This window comes from Homo sapiens, chromosome 7 (genome assembly GCF_000001405.40).
Source record: "Homo sapiens chromosome 7, GRCh38.p14 Primary Assembly".
Lineage (NCBI taxonomy): Eukaryota > Metazoa > Chordata > Mammalia > Primates > Hominidae > Homo > Homo sapiens.
This window is the reverse complement of record NC_000007.14, coordinates 140,843,706-140,869,345: the sequence shown is the minus strand read 5'-3', so window position 1 is coordinate 140,869,345 and position 25,640 is coordinate 140,843,706. Positions and strand designations below refer to the sequence as shown.

At 37.6% G+C, this 25,640-nt stretch overlaps 1 protein-coding gene across 18 annotated transcripts in view, besides 1 other annotated feature; it reads left to right on the top strand.

The window, feature by feature from the left end:
• BRAF (B-Raf proto-oncogene, serine/threonine kinase) overlaps nt 1–25,640 on the top strand; it is a 211,602-nt gene that overhangs the window by 55,584 nt on the left and 130,378 nt on the right. For 17 of the 18 annotated variants that reach the window (NM_001378474.1, NM_001378475.1, NM_001378471.1 and 14 more), the window contains exon 2: nt 19,134–19,235. The exons of the other annotated variant lie outside the window; for it this stretch is intronic. In NM_001378474.1, the coding sequence (NP_001365403.1) occupies nt 19,134–19,235 (102 nt within the window). The remainder of the gene's footprint in view (nt 1–19,133; nt 19,236–25,640) is intronic. 18 annotated transcript variants of the gene reach the window in all.
• Nucleotides 3,531–3,731: a silencer, noted in NCBI's record as "peak6792 fragment used in MPRA reporter construct". NCBI's record gives its function as "represses an SCP1 promoter by STARR-seq MPRAs in K562 erythroleukemia cells {active_cell/tissue: K562}" and the evidence as "EXISTENCE:reporter gene assay evidence [ECO:0000049][PMID:32103011]".

Sequence of the window (25,640 nt, the reverse complement as noted above, 5' to 3'; positions counted from 1 at the left end):
ACAGTGATTTTTAAGATGTCATCAATTGTATGGTAGAATCTGAATTCAAAGATGTTAAGAAGGGGATGGGGGAAAGGTGTCTCTTAGAACATGTAAAAGAACATGTTATTTCTGTCAACTTCCAAACTTTTATCTCCAGCCACATCTCTTACTTGATTTCAGATTTGTATACCCAGCTCCTGTTTTACATCTCCACTCTGGTTAATGTGCCTCCCGGGATATTTTAAATATAATTTTTAATTCTGCATCCTATGCCTTGTCCTCCCAACCTCAGTGTTCCTTCTTCATTCTTTTTGATTTTTGGCTCTTACATCCTTTGACTTAGGTTATAAACTGTAGAGTCGAGGATGACTCCCTTTTATCATACCTCACATCCAATTTACCAGCAAATCCTATTGACTGTACCTTTATAATATATTTAGCATCTGACACATCTTATCATCTCTTCCACTATCAGTCTGATAAAAGCCACCATCATCTTTCACTTGGCCATCATTTCCCATCTGGTTTCTTGGCATTTACACTATAGTTCATTTCCAGTATAGCAGCCAGAGTAATACTTTAAAAATATAATTGATCATATTGTTTCCTTTTTTTCAAAAGTAACTTCATTGAGTTCACCTACCATACAAATCACTCATTTAAAGTGTACAGTGCGGAGGTTTTAGTGTATTCAGTGTGCACAACAACCATCACCAAATTTAATTTTAGAATGTTTTCATTAGCCCTAAAAGAAACCCCACACCCTTAGCCATTCTCCCCCAATCCTTATATTCCCCCCATTTCTAGGCAATCTAATTTCTGTCTCTGTGGATTTTTCTATTCTGGACCATTTTATATACGTGGAATCATACACTGTGTGGTTTTTTGTGACTGCTTCTTTTACTTAGTGTAATGTTTCCAAGGTTTGGTCATGTTATAGAATGTATCAGCATTTTGTTTCTTTTTATTACCAAGTAAAATTCCACTGAATGGATATGCGACATTTTATTTATTCATCAGCTGATGAATGTTTGGACTGTTTTAACTTTTTGGCTATTGTGAATAATGCTGTTATGAATATTCACAAGTTTTTGTGTCTCCTCCTGCTGTGGACTACTGTTTCCCTAACAGAACGTATTAATTTTCTTTTGTACAAAAGCCACTCCAAAGCATAGTGCTTAAAACAACCACTGCTTGGGTCAATGAGCACACTATATTCTGCACTGCACTAACTTTGGCTGTGCTCATTCATGTCTGTGACCAGTGGTGGTTTTAGGTAGATGGCTAGTCTAGGATGGTCTTGAGTGGACAACTTGGTTCTAGTAAACTAGTCCAGGCATGTTCTCATAGAAAGGCACAGGTGAGAGAGTGAGCAAGTTCAATTGTACAAGAGGACAAGACTTGCATATTTGCATTTTAAGCTTCTCTTTGGGTCATGTTTGCTAATACTACATTACAAGGTATCACAAGAGCAAGGAGAAGCCCAGGGTCAGAATGGAAAGGGGATTGCAGAGTTACGGGTAAAAGATGTGCCTACAGAGAAGCCATTAATTGGGGGTCATTAATGCTATGTCTGTTGCACATACCAATTTTGCTTCTACCTTAATGCTTTTTGCATTTGTTTCCCTTCTGTTTGAACTAGTTTTCTCTTACATACCTGCATGCTGAACTTGTTTCACTTCCTTCCTATCTCTGTTCATGTATCATCTTACCAATGAGACCTTCAAGTTTTACCATACTACAAAATGAATAGCCACCCACCCCGATCCTGCTCACAGTCTCTGTTTTTCTCTATAACTTTTTATGACCATCTGACATTGTCTGTTTTTTTTTTTAGCGTTTATCTTCCCTTAACTAGAATGTATGCTCTATGAGGTCAGGGACTTTAGTTTAATTACACTGTCTTCATTGCCTAGAACCCTGGCACTCATTAAATATTTGTTGAATGAAAAATTAATCTACATTGATCCATTTTTACCTAAATTGGAATTATCTTAAAGTTCTAACCTGCCTTCATGCTATGGCATGTATAAAGTGTCAGTCTTTTGATTAGAATACCTAATGATGGAATATTTCTTCTACTTCTTATAGAGACATAGACCATGCAATATATGAGTAATTCTACCATTTACTTAGCTGTCTGACTTGGGCCAAGTTTTTTTTAACCTCCCTGTTTCCTCATCTGTAAAATAGGGGTAATAATAGTCCCAGCCTCATGGAGCCTGGCACAAGGTAGGCACTGTATAAGGTTGGTGCAATGTGTATTGCATAATATTTTTTATCACCTACTTGTTATTGGAGTATATGGCACAGGGAAAATGGAATTGAAAGCTGGAGCAATCTTATATTATGGAGAAGTTGCAAAATCTTTGAAAACTATTTTTTCAAAGGGACAAAGCACATAAAGCAAATGAAATAGGTGATTTTTTTTTCATTGAATGCATCATAACATTATATCCTTAAAACACTGTCTTACAAAGTGCTCTCTGAAAAATACTGTTCTTTATTTCAGGGTTTACGAAAAAGTACATAAAACTAGTGAGCATACATCTTAACTCTCTGAGAGTCTTATAAGTACCATCCTAGATGCATGGAGAGAAGATAATTCATTACTTACACTAGGTCATGCCTTAGGTCGTTAAGACTTAAGTATCTCATGGAACCCCAGTTGAGAAAGAACAAAAATATAACATCTTGACTAAGGTGGCTAGTGCTTCTCTGATCTTAACTATTATTTCTCTAGCCTCAGGTGAGCCTTCTTGAATGTGATTTCATCAGTCTCCTCTAAGCTTACCCAGAATATAGAATTTTTAATATTTTATATAGCCAGCACTTATAAACTACCTGCTTCATGCTAGGTAGTATACTTAGGTGCTAGGAGTAAAACTGATCAAGTGGGGTAAGTTCCAAATTCACAGAGCGCACAGTCCTAACAGGCTGTCATGCCTCAGTTGTTTATTTGTGACAGTGTTTCCCACAGACTTTTAATTTTGGAATGATAGGATGTGGTGCTCTGGAATGGTGTCCCAGGGTTTTGGAGAACTGAGAGTAACCTGGGAAAGCAGGTTACAGTGAGAGAAAGTTATGACCAGGAGTTGTACCAAAACGCAGGAAACATGATATGTATATTGTTATGGTGCATAAAAATACTTACAATTAAAAGTCCTGAACCTACACTACATCTATTGTTTCACATATTTTCCTTCAATTTAAATCCTGCTCCAAATACAGCTCCTTTCCGAAAATTCAGTTTTATGTGACAGAAATTTGATCTGTTTCACTGAAAACCCATTTGAATAGTAATTGTGAGCAATTGTTGAATTTGTAAATGTTACGTAAATTTAGTGGATGACTTTGTGGACAGTTTGACGTTATGGACAGTTATTCTTGATACTGTTTCCCCTCCTTTCCCCTGCCATCCCTGAAACTTTAGGGCTTAATCTGCTTTTAATTAGCCAGAAAAAAATGTTTGATCCTCTTATTCAGTTTTAGATTATTTTAGATGATTTCTAAGTTAAACTCTAAGTTAGAATAGTTTCTGCTTATTGATTTCATGAATATCACTTCTCTATTTCTACTTCTCACCTTCTGCCAGGCCAAAGGAATTGTGGAACTATGATCATCAAACTCCTAAATCATCAGCCTTTTCCTTAAAAGACTTAAAAGGGTTCTATCTATGTAGACACTTGTCTGGCTCCTGATTACAGTTTTACCATTCTCAAGTGATACTATTTGTTTCATCACAGTCCACATAATTCAGGGTCAAGATACTATTATGAAATGACTGTAAAAATTACTAATACCTTTGGCTCTCTAATTTTTCTCTCTTTTCATCATATGGGCCTGACAAAATGCCCGCTACCTGCCTGCACTTAGGCAATTGAATGTAGTGCTTTAAATGTATACCAAAACCCTCAACAGGGCATCAACAATGTCTGGCAGTGCAGCTGCTTCTTCACTTTCCCAATTAAAAATGCGTTTGCTGGCTGGGCGCAGTGGCTCATGTGTGTAATCCCAGCACTTTGGGAGGCCGAGGCAGGTGGATCACTTGAGGCCAGGAGTTCAAGACCAGGCTGGCCAACATGGTGAAACCCCGTTTCTACTAAAAATACAAAAATTAGCTGGGTGTGGTGGCGTGTGCCTGTAATCTCAGCTACTTGGGAGGCTGAGGCAGGAGAATCGTTTGAGCCCAGGACGCGGAGTCTGCGGTGAACCAACATCGCACTACTGCTCTCTGGCCTGGGCAACAGAATGAGACTCTGTCTCAGAAAAAAAAAAAAAAATTCATTTCCTCCACTCATTGCAAACCTCTCACAGCTCCCACTCCTATCTGTGGAATTCACTTCAAACTTTACTGAGAAATTAAATGCAGCTCTTGTCATCTTTTCACCACCAATTCTACAAACTTGTCTGCATTGGTCCTCTTGTTCTGTCTTCCTTTCATTTGTTATCGAAGACCATTCCCGACAGTCTGATTTCTCTACTTGTGACTCAGATTTCATCTTTCCTGCATCTCTGTCTTCCATATCATTCTTCTCCCCTCGATTAAATTCCCTTTAGCCACAAACATGCTCTATTATCTCCCAGCCCCAATACATCTGCAAATGTATGTAAATAGGAATGACCAAATATGTACAGATATACAATTCCTACCTTTCCTAATGTCTTCTAGCCACTATTATGTGTTCCTATTCTTATCTAATAAATTTTCTTAACTGAATATTTTTTCCTTCTACCTCAGTGTCTGTTTCTTTCTTTTCAGCCATTTTTGGTTTCTCTTGTAAATGTTTATGATCCCCAGGGCTGAGCCTTCTTGGCCTATACTCTCTTGTAGGTCTGCCTCCCAGTATGCTAGTGACACCCAAATATGTCTTCAGCCTCATCTCTCCTCCAGGGTTCTAAACTTGCATAACCAGCTGCCTTCTTGATCATTTAGTAAGCCTCTCCTGTTGGTGACATAATGCTTGATTTCTCTCCCTCATGGCATCACTGTCCACCCGTTGCACACATCAGAATTTCAGAATCAGCCTTAATTCTTAGTTTTTTCTCACTCTTCCTCCATGTCTAATCCAGTAGCCCTATCTCCACTGTTTTCACCTTGGTCCAAGCAATCATCTCTTGCTTAACACAACCATAGTTTCAACTAGTCTTCCTCCCTGCATTCACTCTTGGCCCAAGCAATCATCTCTTGCTTAACTATGGTTGCTTAACACAATCATAGTTTCAACTAGTCTTCCTCCCTGCATTCATTCTTGGCGCACCGTAATCCATTCTTCACTAGAGTGATAATTAGAGGTACTATAATATATACTGCTCTAGAGTTATATTGTCTAGAATTTACTAGCTGAGTGGCCTTGAGCAATATACTTAACACTTATGCCACAATGTGCTCGTCTATAAAATGGGATGGTATATTTATCTGTTCTCTGATTGCTATAAAGGAATACCTGAGACTGGGTAGTTTATAAAGAAAAGAGGTTTAATTGGCTCACGGTTCTGCAGGCTCTACAGAAAGCATGATACTGGCATCTGCTCACCTTCTGGGGAGGCCTCAGGAAACTTACAGTCATGGCAGAAGGCAAAGCAGGAGCAGGTGCGTCTTACATGGCAGGAGCAAGGGGTAGGGGGAGGTGCTACACACTTGTAAACAATCAGATCTTTTGAGAACTCACTCATCAAAAGGACAGCATCAAGAGGATGGTGCTAAACCATTCATGAAAGATCCACCCCCATGATCTAGTCACCTCCAACCAGGCCCCACCTCCAACATTGGGGATTACAATTTGACATGAGATTGGGTGGGGACACAGATTCAAACCATATCAGAAGTAAATTGTTAGTAAAATATAAATCAGATTATGTCACACATACCTGTTTTTGAAACTTTAGATTCTCATTGCTCTTAGAATAAAATTAAAACTCTACTTACCGTGGCTTTCAGGATCCTTCATAACCTGGCATATTGCCTAATTTTTCTGATACCCATCTTGTTTCTACTCTCCCCTTGCTTACCATATAGCCACAGTCACTATCTTTAACTTTCTAGTTGGAAACATGGCTTTTTGTGGGGTGTATTTCCTTTTACTTTCTATTGTTTTGGGACCAACTTATTTACGTCAGTTTTGTGTTTGTTTTGTTATATGTAAAAATAGTGCCTTAAAAAATCAGTTTTTTTTTTTAACCTGGTGAATCATTTGTTTTATCTTTATAAATGCTGGGACGAGAGGCCTACTCCTTTTTTCCAATTTTGTGAGAGATTGGTAAAATTCTTAGAAGTGGAATTGCTAGGTCAAAAGATAGAAATGTTTTCAGATGGATGATTCCTATTGAAGTAAATTTTTTGAGAACTTAACATGTCCAAAAAGGTTTTCATTTGCCCTCATGCTTGACTGGTAGTTTGCCTGGATGTAAAATTCCAGATTCACAGTCATTTTTGCCCAGACAGTGAAAACATTATTCTACTATCTTTTAAAAAATAACAGTTTTATTGAGGCATAATTCATATACCATACTATGTGCAATTTAGTGGTTTTTAATATATTCATAGAGTTGTATAGCCATCACCGCAGTACATTGTAGAATATTTTTATCACTCAAAAATGAAACCCCTGGATTTATTAGCAGTCATTCTCTGTTCCCACCAATTTGCCCACCCCCCAGCCTTAAGTCAACAAGTAATCTACTTTCCGTCTTCATTGTCTTTTAATGTTGCTGATGAAAAGTCTGATGCCAAATTAATTCTAGTTATAGGAAGCTTTTAGAGTTTTCCGTTTTGAATTTCTGGAATTTAATTATGTAAACTAGGATTTATGTAGATATGAGTCTTTTAATTCATCCGCCTTAGCCTCACTGAGCCCTTTTACTCAGACCATTGGTGTTTTTAACTCCAAATATTTTTAGCATAATCTTTATTTATTCTATTTTCTTCATTTAGAACTCTTACTAAATGTATTTTGAACTTCCCAAACATATTCTTTATATCTCTTCAACTTTTTACTTGTATCACCCATTTCTTTCTTTCTTGCTCTCTCTTTTTTAACCTCTCTACCTTCTGGGACATTTCTTTGTGTTACATATCACTACTATGATCTTTATCAATACTACTTCTGTTATTTACCCCTTCTCCTCAAGTGTTTTCTTAGTAATAATATTTCAGTTTTCTCCTTGCCCATTTATTCTGTTTGTTCATTGTGATCTTTTTCTTTCCTCCCATTGGATATTCATAGTGTCTTGTGATTCTTGTTTATTGAATAAGGACTAAATTGACAAAAACTTTGCAGTTACATAGGTCTAGGATTCTTTTCTAAATGGGAAATGACTACAAGTGTCATGTATTCATTGACTGGCTTTCCTCCAGGGTGCAGGGATTTTAAGAGGCAGGCTTAAGGCCACCCCAGTTACCAAAGTAAGGACAGCTTTACTATGTTTATTCCTGGAAGGAGCTAGCTTACTTACTTAGTATCCTCCTCCTTCAGTATCTTCCCTCTTTCCCTCTCGCCCTCCCACTTTTCCTTTCTACTTCAAGTATATAGTAAAGTGTAGGGAATAATATAATAACTATGTACCTATTACTCAGTTTTGTTGAATTGTCTTATATATGCTTCAGATTTTTATAAACAAAAAAATTATAGACACAGATATAGCACCTTACAGTCTTACTTTGATACTTTTCTCTGCCCTTTCTGCCTTTTCAGAAGTAACCATTATCCTGAATTTACTGTTTATCATGCCCATGCACATTTCAGATACTTTTGCTGTGGGTGTAGATCCACAAACAATCTAGAACGTTGATTGCATGTTTTTGTGAACCCTGAAAGAACCAACCCTTTAAGGCAGATTCTGAGTGGCTAACAGTCCAAATTCAAAATAGACCCACGCGATCCTTTGCAGACATGTAGAGATCATATGTGTACTCCGCATTCCTGGAAAACCTATACACCCAGTAACTTTAGGACTTTCATAGCTGTCTGTTCCTATTTATGCCACCTGAATTAACAGCTACCAGAAAATACCATTTGGCCTTTTGTACCTAACAAACACTCTGTGACCTGCCTCAGCCAATCAGAACTGAACAAGTTTGCACCCCTCATTTGTATAGTGGACCAGAGTGGGAACCTGACTGTGAACTTTCTCTGTAAATGACAACCCCTTTTCTTTGTTCTCTCAGAAGGCGCCTTTATTTTCTACCAAGGTACATCTCCACGGTTTGCAAACTGTTTGCTGGAATAAAGCCTGTTTCTTTTTTAAGAAAGAAAATCTTTTTCTGTAGATTGTTGACATTTTAAAAGTTGTATATATCCTGAAACTTGCTTTTTCATCAATATTATGTTTTTGAGATGTATTCATGTTGATAAATATAGCGCTAGCTTTTTGTTTTGACTTAATATGTGGTATTTTGTTATACAGATGTACCAGTTTGCCATTTTTTCTCTCTTAGGGAACATTTGAGTTGGTTCTAGTTTTTTGCTATTATAAACATTGCTGCAGTGAAAATGTCTTGTACATATGTGAATATAAGTAGCTACATGATAGGATATGCTCATCCTTAGCTTTACTCTAGATATTGCCAGTTTACTTTCAAATATTTATATTATACCACATGTAGAATATGATAGTGTTTGTTGCTACATGTACATGATTACCAACTCTTGTATTATTAGGCCCAATTTTTTTGCAGTCTCACTGATTTTTCATATGTATGTATGTATTTTTTGAGACAAGGTCTTGCTCTGTTGCCCAGGTGGGAGTGCAATAATGCATTCCTGTCTTATTGTAGCCTCAAACTTCTGGGCTCAGGCAATCCTCCCACCTCAGCCTCTCAGCCTCTGTTAGCTGGGAGTACAAGTATGTGGTACCGCATCCAACTAATTTTCTTTTTTTTCTTTTTTTTTTTTTTTTCTAGAGATGGGGTCTTGCTATGTTGCACAGGTGCTGGGATTACAGGGATGAGCCATTGTACCAGGCCTGGTTTTTCATTGCATTTCTTTGATTACTAATGAGGTCATTTATTTTATGTGTTTATTAGATATTCGAATTCCCTATAGTGAACTACCTATTCATAAGTCTTTTGCCCATTTTCTTTTGGATTAGTTGACCTTTTCCAAAAGGATGGCCACTTACCCTGGAAATATTTATTATATAGTCCGTTCTGTTCCCCACTAAATTATAATGCCAATGTGAACCATATGCTGTGTAAATAAATACCTGTGCCTCTGTTTCTGAGCCCTCTATTCTGTCTCTTTGGGCTTTCTGTCTCTATGCTAGTATCATTTCTCTGTAAGTCTTGTTTTCCTGGTAACACCAGTCTTACCCTCCTTATTATTCAAAATAGCCAAAGGCTACTATTATACAGTGCTTCCATAAAAATTTTAGAATCAGGCTGGGCGCAGTGGCTTACGCCTGTAATCCCAGCACTTTGGGAGGCTGAAGCGGACGGATCACGAGGTCAAGAGATCAAGACCATCCTGGCCAATATGGTGAAATCCTGTCTCTACTAAAAATACAGAAAATTAGCTGGGCATGGTGGTGTGCACCTGTAGTCCCAGCTACTTGGGAGGCTGAGGCAGGAGAATCACTTGAACCCAGGAGGCGGAGGTTGCAGTGAGCCGAGATCATGCTACTGCACTCGAGCCTGGTGACAAAGTGAGACTCCATCTCAAAAAAAAAAAAAAAAAAAAATTTACAATCAGTTTTTCAAGTTCCATGGGGGAAAAATTATTTTTGGAATTTTGTTTATTGCACTACACTGAATTTATTTGTGGAAAATTGACATCATTATAATATTGAATCTTCCCATAAAAGGATATTTATGTAGGTCTTTGTCAAGTGAAGGGGAACACATCTGCATGCACACATACATGTCATTTGGTGTAATGTGAAATAAGGTTTAGTGGAGAAAAATAAAGAAGTATTAAGGCACACACAATTCCCTAAGGTCTGTTATCCCCATATAGATGTGTGCACTGGCCAGACACATCTAGAACTATGTACTGTGGAAAGGGCTCCTGTGTAATAATTGGAGCTTTGAGGTTGGTGAAATGGTCTTACTAGGGAAAGCCATCAGTACTCTGTGGCTGATCAGCCTTTTCTTGCATGAAACAAACTCAGACCTCCTGAGCCAACTTTTTGATAAGCTACCAAAACAGGGGTGGAAACCTCTAGAGTCATCTGACTCTGTCTCTCTTCTTAGTAGCCTTTTGTGCACCTGCACATTATTTTGTTGTTTCCGTCACAAAAGTTTTGGGAATCTTTTGTTAGACTTTTCTTCTAGATTCTTTATAATGTTACTATCATGAGAAGCATCTTTTTTTAATTGGCTCTGGCTAATGTGTTAGAACACCATGTAATTTTATGTCCTTGATTTTATATCCAACAAACCTTGCTAAACTCTTCTGTTAGTTTTTATAGTTAATAGGTATTAGCCCTGATGGTTTGTAGATTCTCTTGGGTTTTTCTGTAGATAGCATGTTTCCTACAAATAAGTTTTTTGTCTCTATAATTCTAATTCTTATGCCTCTTTATATAAATATATATTTATATAAACACTTATATAAACACTACCTATACTACCAAGATTCAATGATTGTTAACATTTTACTGTGTGTATATCTCCTAAGAAAAAGGAAATTATTTCATTTAACCAAAATATCATATGTAGGAAGGTTAAAATTCTATCATCTTACATCTGATATGTGTTCAGATTTCCATGGTTGTCCCAAGAATGTCTCTTGCAGCTATCTTCCATCCCTAAACTAAGATCCACTCTGCATGCACTGAATTATTTGTTGACTTTTAGTAGTAGTTATCTTTTAGTCTTAAACTGACCACCTACTGTTTTGTTCTCCCATGAAATGATTTATTAAAGAATCCAGGACAGTTGTCTTAGAATGTCCCACATTTTGGATTAGTCCAATTGCCAAGGCTTTGACTTTCAAAGAGAAGAAAAATGTCTTAGAGAATGTTCCACAATCTATATTTGATTATTTCAGTGTAGCAGTCTTAGCGTATTTCTCTATTCCCTGTGTTTCTTCTAAACCAGAAGTTAAGTATGAAGGCTTGATTAGATTCAGTTTAAATGTTTTGCATGTATACTTCATGGGTGATGTCTCATGTTGTATCACATCAAGAGGCATATGTTGGGTTGTTCCACTATTAATGATTCTAAGCCACTTGAAGGTATGTTTTCCCCTTCATCTTTAATCTGTGGCGAAATACTTTGGCACTATGTAAGTATCCTGTTCTCCATCAGCTTTTCTCCTAATGATTTTTAGCATCATTTGATCCTTTCCTGAACCAATTATTTTATATTAGCTGGCATTCTTTTGTAAAGAAGCATTTCCCCATATCAAGTGGGAATAACTAATTTTTCCTAAAAAGGCGGGATACATGCATAATTTTTTTCATTTAAAGTTCAGTTTTCTAAGGGTGTAATAATCCCCTACAGTGTGAGCAACTGCTCTCCCACCCTTTTAATTTTTATGGAATTTTGAAGGTTTTTTGTTTATTTGTTTGTTTTTGCATACCATCTGTTATAGTCAATTACAGTACTTATTCTTTTTGCTGAAAATCTCCAAATTTGGTCAGTAGGAGTCCCTTCAAGCTGGCCTCTGATGTTGTTCTGATATCTGGCACAAGATGTTCCTAGATCTCTCTTCTTGAATAATAATAGATAGGTTTGAAATGCTGTAATGCTGGCCCTTTCCCCCATTAATGTAGTCATTGTGTTGTTGTTACTTTGTGTAATCTAATAATGCTTATTTTGTTAAGACCTAATATGCTTATTAATAAACTCATTAGTAAAACCTAAATGCTTATTTAGGTTTACTTTCATGTATATTAGTCTCTAGATTCTCCATCTGTGTTCATTTTCTATGGCTGCAATAATAAATAACAACAAACTTGGTCACTTACAACACCACAAATGTGGTGTACTCTCTTACATTTCTGGAGGTCGGAAATCCAGAATGAGTTTGTTTTACTGGGCAAAAATCAAGGTATCAGCAAGACTTTGCTCTCTCTAGAGACAATAAGGAAAAATCTGATTTCTTGCCTTTTCCAGCTCCTAGAGCTGCACTGCTTGTATTTCTTGGCTCATGGCCACCTCCTCCATCTTCAAGGTCAGCAGTGTAGCATCTTCAGATCTTTCTCTGCTGAGTTTTTATATCACCTAATCATCTATAGTAAAATTCCCTTTTATTTCCCTCTTATAAGTATGCTTGTCGATTACATTTAGGGCTTACCCAGATATCCAGAATAATCTCCCTGTTTCACAATACTTAATCACATCTGCAAAGTTCCTTTTGCCACATAGGATAACATTTACAGGTTCTTCTGGGTCTTGGTATATGTTTAGTTATCTTGGTGGGGGGCCACTATTCAGCCCTCTCATGCCACTCTTTCTTTGATATTACTTCTTGATTCAGTTTCCTTTTTCTAGGTTGTCAGTTATTTTCTTCTTGCACCTTAACGTCAGTTCATTATCTTCTTGCTTCTTTTACTGATGTTGAGAAGTATGCCATCAGTCTGACTTGTCTTTACTTTCTGGTTGACTTTAAGAACTGAACTTTTTTATTTTCACCTGTTTTGGAAAATTTATGGCCAGCTTCTGTTCAAATATCTCCCCATTCCCTGTTTACCTCCCAGATTAACTCATTTTGTGCTTCGTGTCTTTCATATTTTCCATTCATTTATCTCTGCCTTTTGGCTAATTTTCTCAGAATCACCTTCTAGTCCTTTAATTCTCTCTTCAGCAGTAATCTGTTTTACGTTACCTGAGGTTTTAATTTGATGACTGTATGATTCAAAACTCATGTCTTTATAGTTTCCTCATGCTTCTTCTTTATATGTGTTGTCTTTAGGCTTGCTGTTCTTCCAGAGTTATCTCAGTAGAAATTTACTTTTGTGTTTTGGTCTGCAATTTATTAGCTTTGATTTCTTTGTCAAACTGATTATATTCGTTTTCTGTTTTTCAGGAATGTTCTGAATTTTTCCAACTAAGTGGTTGATGGTCCTGGCCTCCTTGCTTTCAGTACTGTGATTCTTTCAACCATTTTCTTGAAATTTTAAGACCACTTCTGTCTCTCCCTTCCCTCCCTCTGTTCCTCCCCCAACCCCACCTTTCGTAACAATTATTTGTTTCTTGGAATCTCTTAGGCTAGTCCTGTAGTTTTCCCCTTTGACCTATTAAGTATTATGTTACTGGATTCCTAATTAATGATTATTCTTGCTTTTAATATATATATTTATATATACTATTATATATGTTTATATATCATATATATTAATTTAAGAGTTTGATGCCTTTCTTCACAGTTTGGATTATTTTATGTTTTGTTTGTTTGTTTGTTTAGAGATAGTCTTGCTCTGTTGCCCAAGCTGGAGTATAGTGGCGTGATCTCAGCTCACTGCACCCTCCATCTCCCAAGTTCAAGAGATTCTCCTGCCTCAGCCTCCCAAGTAGCTGGGACTACAGGCACGCACCCACACCTAGCTAATTTTTGTACTTTTAGTAGAGAAAGGGTTTTGCCTTGTTGGCCAGGCTGGTCTCAAACTCCTGGCCTCAGGTTATCCACCTGCCTCAGCCTCCCAAAGTGCTGGGATTACAGGAATGAGCCATTGTACGTGGCCTATTTTTTTTTATGTTATCTTTGTTGAGTTTTGACATCTAGGTTTTGCTAGCTTCTTAAAGTAATTTAGAAGATATATAAGTATATATATGAATATATATATAAAATCACCTGTTACTAATTGATATTTTAATTACATTTTCTTTAAGGGATGAGGGGAGCCAATGGCTGTAGTTTTTTTTTTGTGCCATAGCTCCCCTTCATGTCCTTCCATAGCAGTTTGTCTGCATTTATATTTTAACATGGGCATCTTCTAGGATTTTTTAAAAAAAATTCTCAGTCTTTTTTTTGGAGAAGGAGTTTTGCCATTTGTAAAGTCACTAAAAATGATCAGTTATTTACTAAGCTTGCTTGGCTGTAATAGCTGTGGTCTACTGAAGAGATTAAAACAGGAGAGGAGATCTTTTAGTAACTTTCTTGAAGTTTTTAGTTTTGTTTTTAATTTTTTCATCTCCCTTTTAGGATTGTGGTAACAGGTTTTTCTTTTTTTTCCAAGAAGATGTTTTAACTATGTACCTACCGTTAGCTTTTCAGTATCTTATTCTACTTTTTAATATATCTCTATTTTATAAGAGTCATCAAAGTTCTTTCTCTGACTCTTCTGGAGATTCTGAAAGACTTTCTCTCCCAAACACATTCTTTAAAATTCCAACAAGGGTCATTGTGACTTTTTTTTATTCTTCGGATATAAAATTACTCTTCTTTGGGGAGATAAAAAACCTGACTTCCAGACACTTATGGTCTGGCCCCACTATACCTAGCCAATATTATCATTTTCTTTTACTTTTTTTTTGAGACGAAGTCTTGCTCTTGTCACCCAGGCTGGAGTGCAGTGGCGCAGTCTCGGCTCACTGCAACCTCCGCCTCCTGGGTTCCAGTGATTCTCCTGCCTCAGCCTCCTGGGTAGCTGGGATTACAGGCACACGCCACCACGCCCGGCTAATTTTTGTATTTTTAGTAGAGACGGGGTTTCACCGTGTTGGCCAGCTGGTCTCGAACTCCTGACCTCAAGTGATCCACCCGCCTCATCCTCCCAAAGTGCTGGGATTACAGGTGTGAGCCACCACTCCCAGCCCAATCTTAACCGTTTTTTATACCCCAGCAAGAAAATTTTATTCTAATCAGCTCATTCTCTTCATTTCTCATCTCTGATTATTTTCCCCCACTTTCTCTCTCCCATCCTTTGAGAGAAATAGTTCTTTATGCTAACTGCATATGAGTTTTTATGGAACATTGAAAAAAAAAAGGGAGTGTGGGTAATATTGTCCTGAATTTACTGGACCTAAGAAAGAATCACTGAACTAGGATGACCTGTTTTCTTTCCTACCCTATTCTGAAACCAGCTTAAATCTTCAGCTTTAATTGCATACCTATTATGACTAAGACACCAAAATAAATCATGAGGGGACAAAAAAAGAAAATGTTTCTGATCTTAAAGTAGCTAATAGACATGGAAAACATAATCAACTTTATGTTATCAAATTATGACTTAGAAAACAGTTTTGCCGAGTTGATCAGTGAACACATCATAGAGGGATGCTCTAAGGAAAGATCCATCCTGGACAATGTGGCAAAACCCCATCTCTACTAAAAATACAAAAATTAGCCAGGTGTGCTGCTGCGTGCCTGTAGTCCCAACTACTTGGGAGTCTGGGGTGGGAGGATTGATGCCAGGGAGGCTGAAGCTGCAGTAAACCAAGATTGTGCCACTGCACTCCAGCCTGGGAGACGGAGACCCTGTTTTAAAAATAAATAAAGTATTCATTTTTTTTTAAACAAATATATGTTTGCTTATTGTATGCTAGGCACTGTTCTAGGCTCTGGGGATAAATCAGAAAAAATAAGACAAAAACCTATGCCCTCCTGGACTTCATTCTGTTGGGGAGTGGGAAGACACACACCAATAACAAAATGAACACGTAAAATATATATAGTAAGGTGGTCACATATGCTACGGAACAAATAAAATTAACAAAGGGCATAGAAGCTGATTCTGTGCCTTTAAGGAATGGGAGGGATAGAGCCTTTCTAAATGAGAAGGTAAGAGAATGCTTCATTGATAAGGTGACATTGGGATAAAGAGATGAATGAACTTGGTAAGACAGCAAACTTTATAGAAATCTTAGGGGAAGAGCATTCCAGGCAGAAGGAATAGTAAATTCACAAGTCCTGCACTGGGAGTATACTTGGCACGTTCAGTTAGGCCAAATGTGATTGGAATGGGATGAGTGACGGGAGAACAATAAGAAATGAAGCTAGACAAATAGCAGAGGGCCAGGTCATGGCTTTGGTGATTTTTAGTGGGGAAGCCAGTGGAGGGTTTTGAGCAAGAGAATGACATGTGATCTGCAGTTATAGTTTTGTTTTTGAGATGGGGTTCACTCTGTTGCCTAGGTTGGGGTGGCGCGATCACAGCTCATTGCAGCCTCAACTTCCCAGGCTCAAGCAATCCTCCCACCTCAGCCTCTGGGACCACAGGCACACACCACCACGTCTGGCTATTTTTTTTTTTTCTTTTTTTTTTGTAGATACAGGGTCCTACTATGTTGCGATCCTCCCGTCTCAGCCTCCCAAAGTGCTGAGATTACAGGCGTGAGCCACCATGCATGGCCTGCAGTTACAGTTTTTGAAGAATAGCTACTGTGCCATTCTAGGCATGAAATAGGAGAGGCCATTTCAGAAACTCTTGTTAATAAACTAACAGAGAAATGAAGGTGGCTTAGACCAGGGTGGTAAAGTTAGAGAAGGTGACTAATATCTACATATATTTTGATTTGGAGATGGATTGAAATGGATTGTCAGATGTGAGAAAAGAGTCAAGGATGATGCTGAAGTTTTTGGTTTACTCAAAGAAGGGAGCTTATTTCCTGAGGTAAAGAGACTAGGAAAAACAAGTTTTGTGGGGGTGATGGGGGAGATCAGAAGTTAGTCTTTGAACATGTTAAGTTTGAAATGCCTATTAGGTATACTAGTAGACATATTCAGCAGGCAGTTAGGAATCTGGTGTTGAGAGGAAAAGGTAGAGTTGGATTTTAAATTTTGGGCTTCATCAGTTCATAGTTGGCATATAAAGATACAAGATTGGATGAGATCACCTAGGGAGTAAGTGTAGCTTGACAAAAGAAGCCATCTGACACTTTTTGGAGATATGAAAAATTAGCAAAGGCATCATGAAAGAAAACATTGAAATACCTGACTGGAAAAACAATTTGGAACCTCTATCACTGCTTCTCAGACTTTAATATGCATATGAATCATTTTGTTAAAGTTCAGTAGATCTGAGATGGAGCTTGAGCTTCTGCTGTGTGTTTTGTTTGTTTGTTTGGTTTTTGGTTTTTTTTTTTTTTTGGCAGGTTGTGGGGTGGCGGTAGAAACTGAGTCTCACTATGTTGCCCAGGCCGGAGTGTAGTGGTGCACTCATGGCTCACCGCAGCCTCAACCTCCTGGGCTCAGGTAATCCTCCCACATCAGCCTTCTGAGTACCTGGGACTACAGGCATGCACCACCATGCCCGGCTAATTTTTGTATTTTTTATGGAGATGGGGTTTTGCTATGTTGCCCAGGCTGGTTGTGAACTCCTGGGCTCAAGCAATCCACCTGCCTCGGCCTCCCAGAGTGTTGGGATTACAGATGTGAGCCACTATGCTAGGCCAGCTTCTGCTGTTCTCACAGTCTTTCAGAAGATGCTGCTGCTTCTGGTCTGTGGACCCACACTTTGAGTAGCAAGACTTTATATGACAAGAGTCATGAAAAACAATTGAAAGACCTTAACATTTGTAGAAGAATAAAGATTAATATCCAGAATAAAGACTATCTATAAATGAATATGGAAAAAACAAACAACTCAATAGAATAAAAGGGAGTGCAGTATAGGGAATTTTCCAAAATCTCAAATGGCCAGTAAGCATAAAAAGTGCTCAACTTTGTAAGAAATACAAATTAAAACATGATTGCCTTTTCCCTTTCAGACTGGCAAAAGTTTAGAAGTGTGATTGTGCTGGGTGTTGGTGAGATTGTGGGGAAGAGTGGACTTATACCCTGCAGATAGGGACTTGACTTGATACATTTCTTCTTTTGGAAGACCATTTGGCATATTTATTAAATTTTAAAATAGGTATATCCTTCAATCCTGGAATCCTATACCTAGATACCAAAAAATAAAACTTGCACTTTTACTCTGAAAAGCAGTTCAGAACTATTTGTTGGAGTATTGTTTGATGTTGAGGAAATGGAATAATCTAAATGTCCTTTAGTAAGGAAATTATTAAATCAAGAGATTTGGAACTCTTTTTTTTCATTTATTTCCCAGTACATTTAAAAATTGATATCTGACATTTTTTCATTATAACTTTGAATAGTTTAAAAGGCCATAATTTCTACTGTGTGTTATATTTATGTTAAATACATTTTTTGGACAAGCCTTAAAGCTGCAGATTTAGATCATTCAACTTAGAAACAGAATCTTCCGTATAACCTAATAGCCAGTTCTCACTATCAAACCAGACAAATTGGACTGTTTTTCTTTTTTATTAAGAAAAAAAACCTGATTACTTATTTATCTTAAAACAGATATACTAATATATGCCTTTTAATAACCACTAAACTTCTGGATTCTAGTCTGGCTGGCTGGTGATGGGTAAGGCTTGGAGCCTTGCCACAAATTTGTTTCATTGATAAAATATGGTCCTGCTCTTAATTTTTCCCCCTTTTCTCTCAAGGAATTTCCCTATTTAATTGTCTATTTGTTAGGTACTTTGGAATTTATACGTCTCAGAATGGTGCATCTTAGTAGTATTTGAGGTGGAAAAGAACTTTGCCTTTCTTTTATAAAGTGGAAAATAATTATTTTAAAAGAGGAAGTAGACAAGGAGAACCAGTTCTTAAGCAGATCAATCAGGGAGCATACAGATAAAACTTGAGGATCTGGAAATTCTCTTAAAATTGTCTATGCCCACCTAACCCCTGGATACCACTGAAGTTTAGAGACTGTTGAAATAAGCAGTGCAATGCTATGAAATGAATGCTATATAACCATTAGGGAGTAAAATATATGCATATTGACGTGGAGAGACTTCTGAGACATTACTCCATGAAAAAAGCAAGTGTTAAAAGTATTTTATATATAGTATTTAATTATATGTGTACATTTCATATATGTATGTCTTAATGTTTTTTCCATGAGTAAAAGGGAGACATGGAAGGCTGCTCACCAAACCATAAACAGAACTTAACCTTTTTGAAAGGGGGCCTGGGAATGTGAGGAAGATGAAGAGAGATTTCATGGTTTATTCTGAATATTCATGTATTCTTTGAATCTTTTATAGTTGAGAATACGTTGTATTACTAGTGTAGAAAAAAATTTAAAGATGTTTCATAATAAAAGAGAAAAACCACTGTACTAAATGATCTCTAAGCTCAAAATTTGAGGAACACTGGCAGTTACTGTGATGTAGTTGTCTATGTTAAAATATTTCTAATTCATATACTAAGTGATTTTTATTTAAATTCTTTTGAAATATTTTTTAGGTGTGGAATATCAAACAAATGATTAAGTTGACACAGGAACATATAGAGGCCCTATTGGACAAATTTGGTGGGGAGCATAATCCACCATCAATATATCTGGAGGTAAGCTTTTGAGTATCATATCTAGTAATTTTGAAAAGAAAAAAAATGAACTTATAAAAACATTTGTACTGATAATCTTGATTATTTTAGGAGGTGGGATTAGGAATAGATTTGGGAAGAGAGAATTAGCTTTGCCTGTATTATACTTCTTAATCTTGTTTTGTGTCACTTGTTAAAATAAACATGTATTTTATAATTTAGAAAACATCAGAACTAAGGGGGAAGTGATATAAATTTCAAGGTATTACTCTGAATTAAATTTTTATTTTTATTTTTATTTTATTTATTTATTTTTTTTTGAGACGGAGTCTCGCTCTGTCGCCCAGGCTGGAGTGCAGTGACACAATCTCAGCTCACTACAACCTCCGCCTCCCAGCTTCAGACGATTGTCCTGCCTCAGCCTCCTGAGCAGCTGGGACTACAGGCGCACATTACCACGTCCACCTAATTTTTTCTATTTTTAGTAGAGATGGGGTTTCACCATATTGGCCAGGCTGGTCTCGAACTGACTTTGTGATCCACCCACTTGGCCTCCCAAAGTGCTAGGATTACAGGTGTGAGCCACTGTGCCTAGCCAATTTTTTTTTTTTTTTTTTAAAGAGAAAGCACACAGTTTTGGAGCTCAGCAAACCAGTTACCATATTGGAAAATGGGGTAATTTTTTAAAATATTTTTTCCAGAATGAGTTTCCCCAAAATTGGTTTCTGCTTCCTTATAGGTAAAATTTGTAATTTTTAAATAGCTCAACATTGTTTAGCTTTACTGTTTAATAATGCCTTGAGGTTTGTGTCAAGCCTTGAGCATAATTGTAAATTTATATTCATTAATCCTATGAGTTAGTAGGTGCTGTTATAATCACAGATGAGCTTTCTTAGCATTAGTTTTCTTAAGTAGTCAGTCAGACTCCACAGCCAACAAGGTGTTACAGAATCTAGGTGGTAAGGCTCTACAGCCCACACTGCTCACTACTACCCTACACACCCTTTCTTTATAAAAGCTGGCTCAGCTGTCATCACTAGTGAGGCAAGGAGATGGAGAACTCTAAATTAGAAATGATCAGGTTGCCATTTGGCTCCAAATACCAGAGATTTTTAAGCACAGATTGAAAGACTTCTGAACTAAATTTGTAACTTAGTAATTTAATTACTTTTTGAAGGGCCAGTTAAGTCTTAAGGATTTTATGAGAAAGTTAAGTTTATATTTCTGAAGTAAACTTGGAAGTTTGGAAATAACAGCTAATATGCTGTTTTCTTTCTCCTCTTCTTCATGTGGCTCATCCCAGATCACACTCCTAGTTAATATCAAAGCTAGGACTAGAATTCTTATTTCTCATTACTAGTTAGTGTACTTCCTAATAGCCTGTGCTATCTTCTATACATATATTATTAGGAGGCTGATCAAAGGTGTCATAAGGAAGCAAGTACTGCTAATGAGAATGGCAATTTTTTATTAATCAGAATTAGACAATATAACCAGCAGTTTTTCTTCCAACCATTTCTATGTCTTGGAGACTTTGAACCCATGCTGAGATGTAATTCATTTGCATCAATAGCTATGTCCCCACTATAGCAGTGATTCACTGCCCCCTCCTCACATAACTCTTCAGGCTTTTTACTATTTGAAGACTGATCACTAACAACAAACCTTAGAGCTTCTTATTCTGTGCCCAGTACTGTGTTAAATGTATTTTATTGCTTAACTCATTTCTTATAGTTACTTTGAGCAAGATACTAGGTACTGGATATTTTTGTTATTCCCATTTTACAAGTGAAAAAACAGAGAGGTTAAGTAACTTAACTAAGGTGACACTGCTAGTTAGGAAAGAAGGCAGATATCTAAGTCAGAAATCTGTGTTCTTGATCTCTATCTTATTCTACCTTTATCATGACATTGTCTCGCTCTTTCCCCACCCTCACCCCCCAGACAGCTTTTCTTATTTGGGCTAAATATTTCTATTCCCTTCAGCCATTCTTAGTAACATAATTTATGGACCTTTTATTAGATACAGTCTTTTTGGTTGGTTCTTTTAGAATTAGACACACAAAATTGAACTACTTATTAAAATTAAATCTGAGTAGGACAGCATACATCAGACCATAACTCACAGGTTATATTATTAGCTTGTGGTAAAACAGATTCTTATCTTGGGGACTTGTGGTATACAATGTGTGTGTATTATGTGTATGTAGTATGCAAAGGTATGCATATACACATGTACATACACACACACTGAAGGCAGCAGTATAATATAATAATTACGATGAGCCATGGAGTCATACAGACTCCATGTTTGAATCCCAACTCTGGCTTAGTTTCTGTACTCAAGATATCCAGCCTTCTTATACCCCACCTCATTAGTAAAGTGGAAATAATATCACATCTTGGGTAAGTTAAGGATTAATTGAGTTTATAATTATGAAATAACATAGTTCCTGATTCAAATATTAAGAATTCTATAAATAGTTGATTTATCTTGTACTGCTCTAGGCCTTGGGGAATAGCAATTGTCTGTCTTTTTTTTTTTCCTCCTGAGATGGAATCTTGCTGTCTCCCGGGCTGGAGTGCAGTGGCACGATCTTGGCTCACTGCAACCTCCACCTCCCAGGTTCAAGCAATTTTCCTACCTCAGCCTCCCAAGTAGCTGGGATTACAGGCATGCACCACCATACCCAGCTAATTTTTGTGTTTTTAGTAGAGACAGGGTTTCAGCATGTTGGCCAGTCTGGTCTCAAACTCCTGACCTCAGGTGATCTGCCCCCCTTGGCCTCTCACAGTGCTGGGATTACAGGCGTGAGCCACCGTGCCTGGCCGGGAATAGCAATTTTTTAAAAAATGGCCAACAATCTCCGCCTTTTTAAGCTTATATTTTAATGAGGGGATGGATATATAGACAATGAACATATAAATGAGTTTTAGAACATTGCACTTATCACCATTTTATTTTTTTATTTTTTGTTGAGATGGAGTCTCGCTCTGTTGCCCAGTCTGGCATGCAGTAGCACGATCTCAGCTCACTGCAGCCTCCTCTCCTGGGTTCAAGTGATTCTCCTGCGTCAGCCTCTCAAGTAGCTGGGATTACAGGTGTGCGTTATGACTCCCGACTAATTTTTGTATTTTTAGTGGAGACAGGTTTCACCATGTTGGCCAGGCTTGTCTCAAACTCCTGACCTGAAGTCATCCACCTGCCTCGGCCTCCCTAAGTGCTAGGATTATAGGCGTGAGCCACCGTGCCTGGCCATCACCATTTTATATACTATGAATGGACTCTAACCAGCCCAAGAGAAAAGACCTGTACATACTGATATTTAAAGGCCCATCAGTGAAGAGCTAGATCTACTGATTACTCACTGAGACCCACCGTTCTGCAGGTTTCTCATCTGCCATTTAAGATTCCTTTACACTTTTTTTTTTTATTGGGGTAAAATATGCCTAACAAAATTTACCATTTTAACCATTTTTAAGTATATGGTTCTGTGGCATTAAGTCCATTCATGTTTTTGTGTATCCTTCACCACCATCCATTTCTAGAAATTTTATCATCCAAAACTGAAACTCTCTAGCCTTTAAACACTAAATCTCTATTTCCTTCTTTCTCTAGTTCGTAGCAACCACCATTCTACTTTCTATCTCTATGATCTATGAATTGGACTACTCTAGGAACTTCATGTTAATGGAATCATATAATATTTGTCCTTTTGTGACTGGCTTATTTCATTTAGCTTAATGTCTTTGAGGTTTATCCATGTTGCAACAAGGATAATGCATATATCAAAATTTTTTTCCTTTTTAAGGCTGAATAATAATCCATTCATTGTATGTATTTACCATATTTTGATTATCCATTCATCCATCAGTGGACACTTGGGTTGCTTCTACGTTTTGGCTATTATCAATAATGCTGTGAACATGGGTGTACGAGTATCTGAGTTCCTTTTACTTCTTTGGGGTATATACCAGGAGTAGAATTGCAGGATCACATGGTGATTTTATGATTATTTTTTCTGGAGTTGCCACACCTTTTTCTGTAGCACCTGCCCTGTTTTATATTCCTACTGGCATCGCATGGGGTTCTAATTTTTTACATCCTTACCAACACTTATTATTTTCGGTTGATTAAAAAAACCATAGCCTAGGCTGAGCGCGGTGGCTCACACCTGTAATGCCAGCACTTTGGGAGGCTAAGGTGGGCGGATCACGAGGTCAGGAGTTTGAGACCAGCCTGACTAACATGATGAAATCCTGTCTCTACTAAAAAATACAAAAATTTCAGGTGTGTGTAGTGGTGCGCACCTGTAATCCCAGCAATTCAGGAGGCTGAGGCAGGAGAATCGCTTGAATCCAGGAGAAGAGGTTGCAGTGAGCCGAGATCATGCCACTGCACTCCAACCTGGGGGACAGAATAAGACTCCGTCTCAAACAAAACAAAACAAGGCAAAACAAAAAAAACATAGCCTCATGTGCGTGAAGTGATACCTTATTATGGTGCTGATTTGCATTTTCCTGATGACTAACAATGTTGAGCCTTTTATTATGTGCTTATTGGCCATTTGTATATCTTTTTTGAGAAATGTCTGATTTAAGTTCTTGGTCCATTTTTTAATTGGATTGTTTGTTTTGTTCTTGTTATTGAGCGTAGTTCTTTATATAGTCTAGATATCAGTTCTTATTGGATATTTAATTTGCAAATATTTTTCCCATTGTGTGGGTTCCCTTTTTACTCTGCTTATAGTTTTTTAGTCCAAATTATCTATTTTTCTTTTTGTTGCTCTTGCCTTTGATATCATATCCAAGAAATCATCACCAAATCCAATGCCATGACATTCTTCTCCCAAATGCTCTTGCATTTGGGTCTTTGATCCATTTTGAGTTAATTTTTATATGATGTAAGGTAAGGGTCCAACTTCGTTCTTTTGCATATGGATACCCAGTTTTCTCAGCATCATTTGTGGAAAAGACTGAATGGCCTTGGCACCCTTGTCGAAAACCATTTGACTATATATGCAAGAGTTTATTTCTGGGCTTTCTATTCCATTGGTCTATATGTCTGTCTTTATGCTGTCATCATACTGTTTTGATTACACTAGCTTTGTGTAGTAAGTTTTGAAATCAGGAAATGTGAGTTCTCCAACTTTGTTCTTTTTCAAAATTGTTTTGGCTATTCAGGATCCCTTGAGATTCCTTTTTTTTTTTTGAGATGGAGTCTCACTTTGTCACCCAGGCTGGAGTGCAGTGGTGTGATCTTGGCTCACTGCAGCCCACCTCCCAGGTTCAAGTGATTCTCGTGCCTCAGCCTCCTGAGTAGCTGGGATTACAGGCACCTGCCACCATGCCTACCTTTTGTATTTTTAGTGGAGACGGAGTTTCACCATGTTGACCAGGCCAATCTCGAACTCCTGACCTCAAGTGATCCACCTGCCTTGGCTTCCCAAAGTGGTGGGATTACAGGTGCAAGCCACTGTGCTCAGCCTCCATGTGAATTTTATAAAGGATGTTTCTCTTTCTACAAGTAGGTCATCAGGATTTTGATAGGGATTGGATTGAATCTGTAGATTGCTTTGGTTAATACTGATATCTTAAGAATTCTTAACTCTGAAATATGAGTGGACAGTTAAGAATAACCAGATATTTAAAGAAAGCTGTCAACAGGAAAGACAGCAGCAGAAATGGTCAACAGAAACTCAGAAACAGTGCAGAAAACAGAATAAAACTTAAAAATAACTATAATTAGCATCAGAGATAAGATCTATTAGTCCTGTCTTGCTTTGTAGCAATACTAAAGAAGCAAAAGTAACAGAGAACAAGAAAGACCTCTTGGAAATTAAAAATACAATAGCCAGAAATTTATTTTTATTTTTATTTTTTTTTAATTTTCTTTTTAATTCTCAGCAAGGCAAGTTACGTCTATAGAAGGGTGCGCCCTTACAGATGGAGCAATGGTGAGCGCACACTTGGACAAGGGAGGGGAAGGGGTTCTTATCCCATATGCATGTGGCTCTTGCTGCTGTGTCATTCCCCTGTTGGCTAGGGTTAGACTGCACAGGCTAAACTAATTCCGATTAATAACTAGAATTTTTTAATTTTTATTATTATTTTTCTTTTTTTGAGATGGAGTCTTGCTCTGTCACCCAGGCGGGAGTGCAGTGGTGCGATCTCGGCTCACTTCAAGCTCCACCTCCCGGGTTCACGCCATTCTCCTGCCTCAGCCTCCCGAGTAGCTGGGACTACAGGCGCCCGCCACCACGCCCATCTAATTTTGTTTTTGTATTTTTAGTAGAGACTGGGTTTCACCGTGTTAGCCAAGATGGTCTCGATCTCCTGACCTCGTGATCCGCCCGCCTCAGCCTCCCAAAGTGCTGGGATTATAGGCATGAGCCACTGTGCCCAGCCCAGAAATTTTTAAAAATA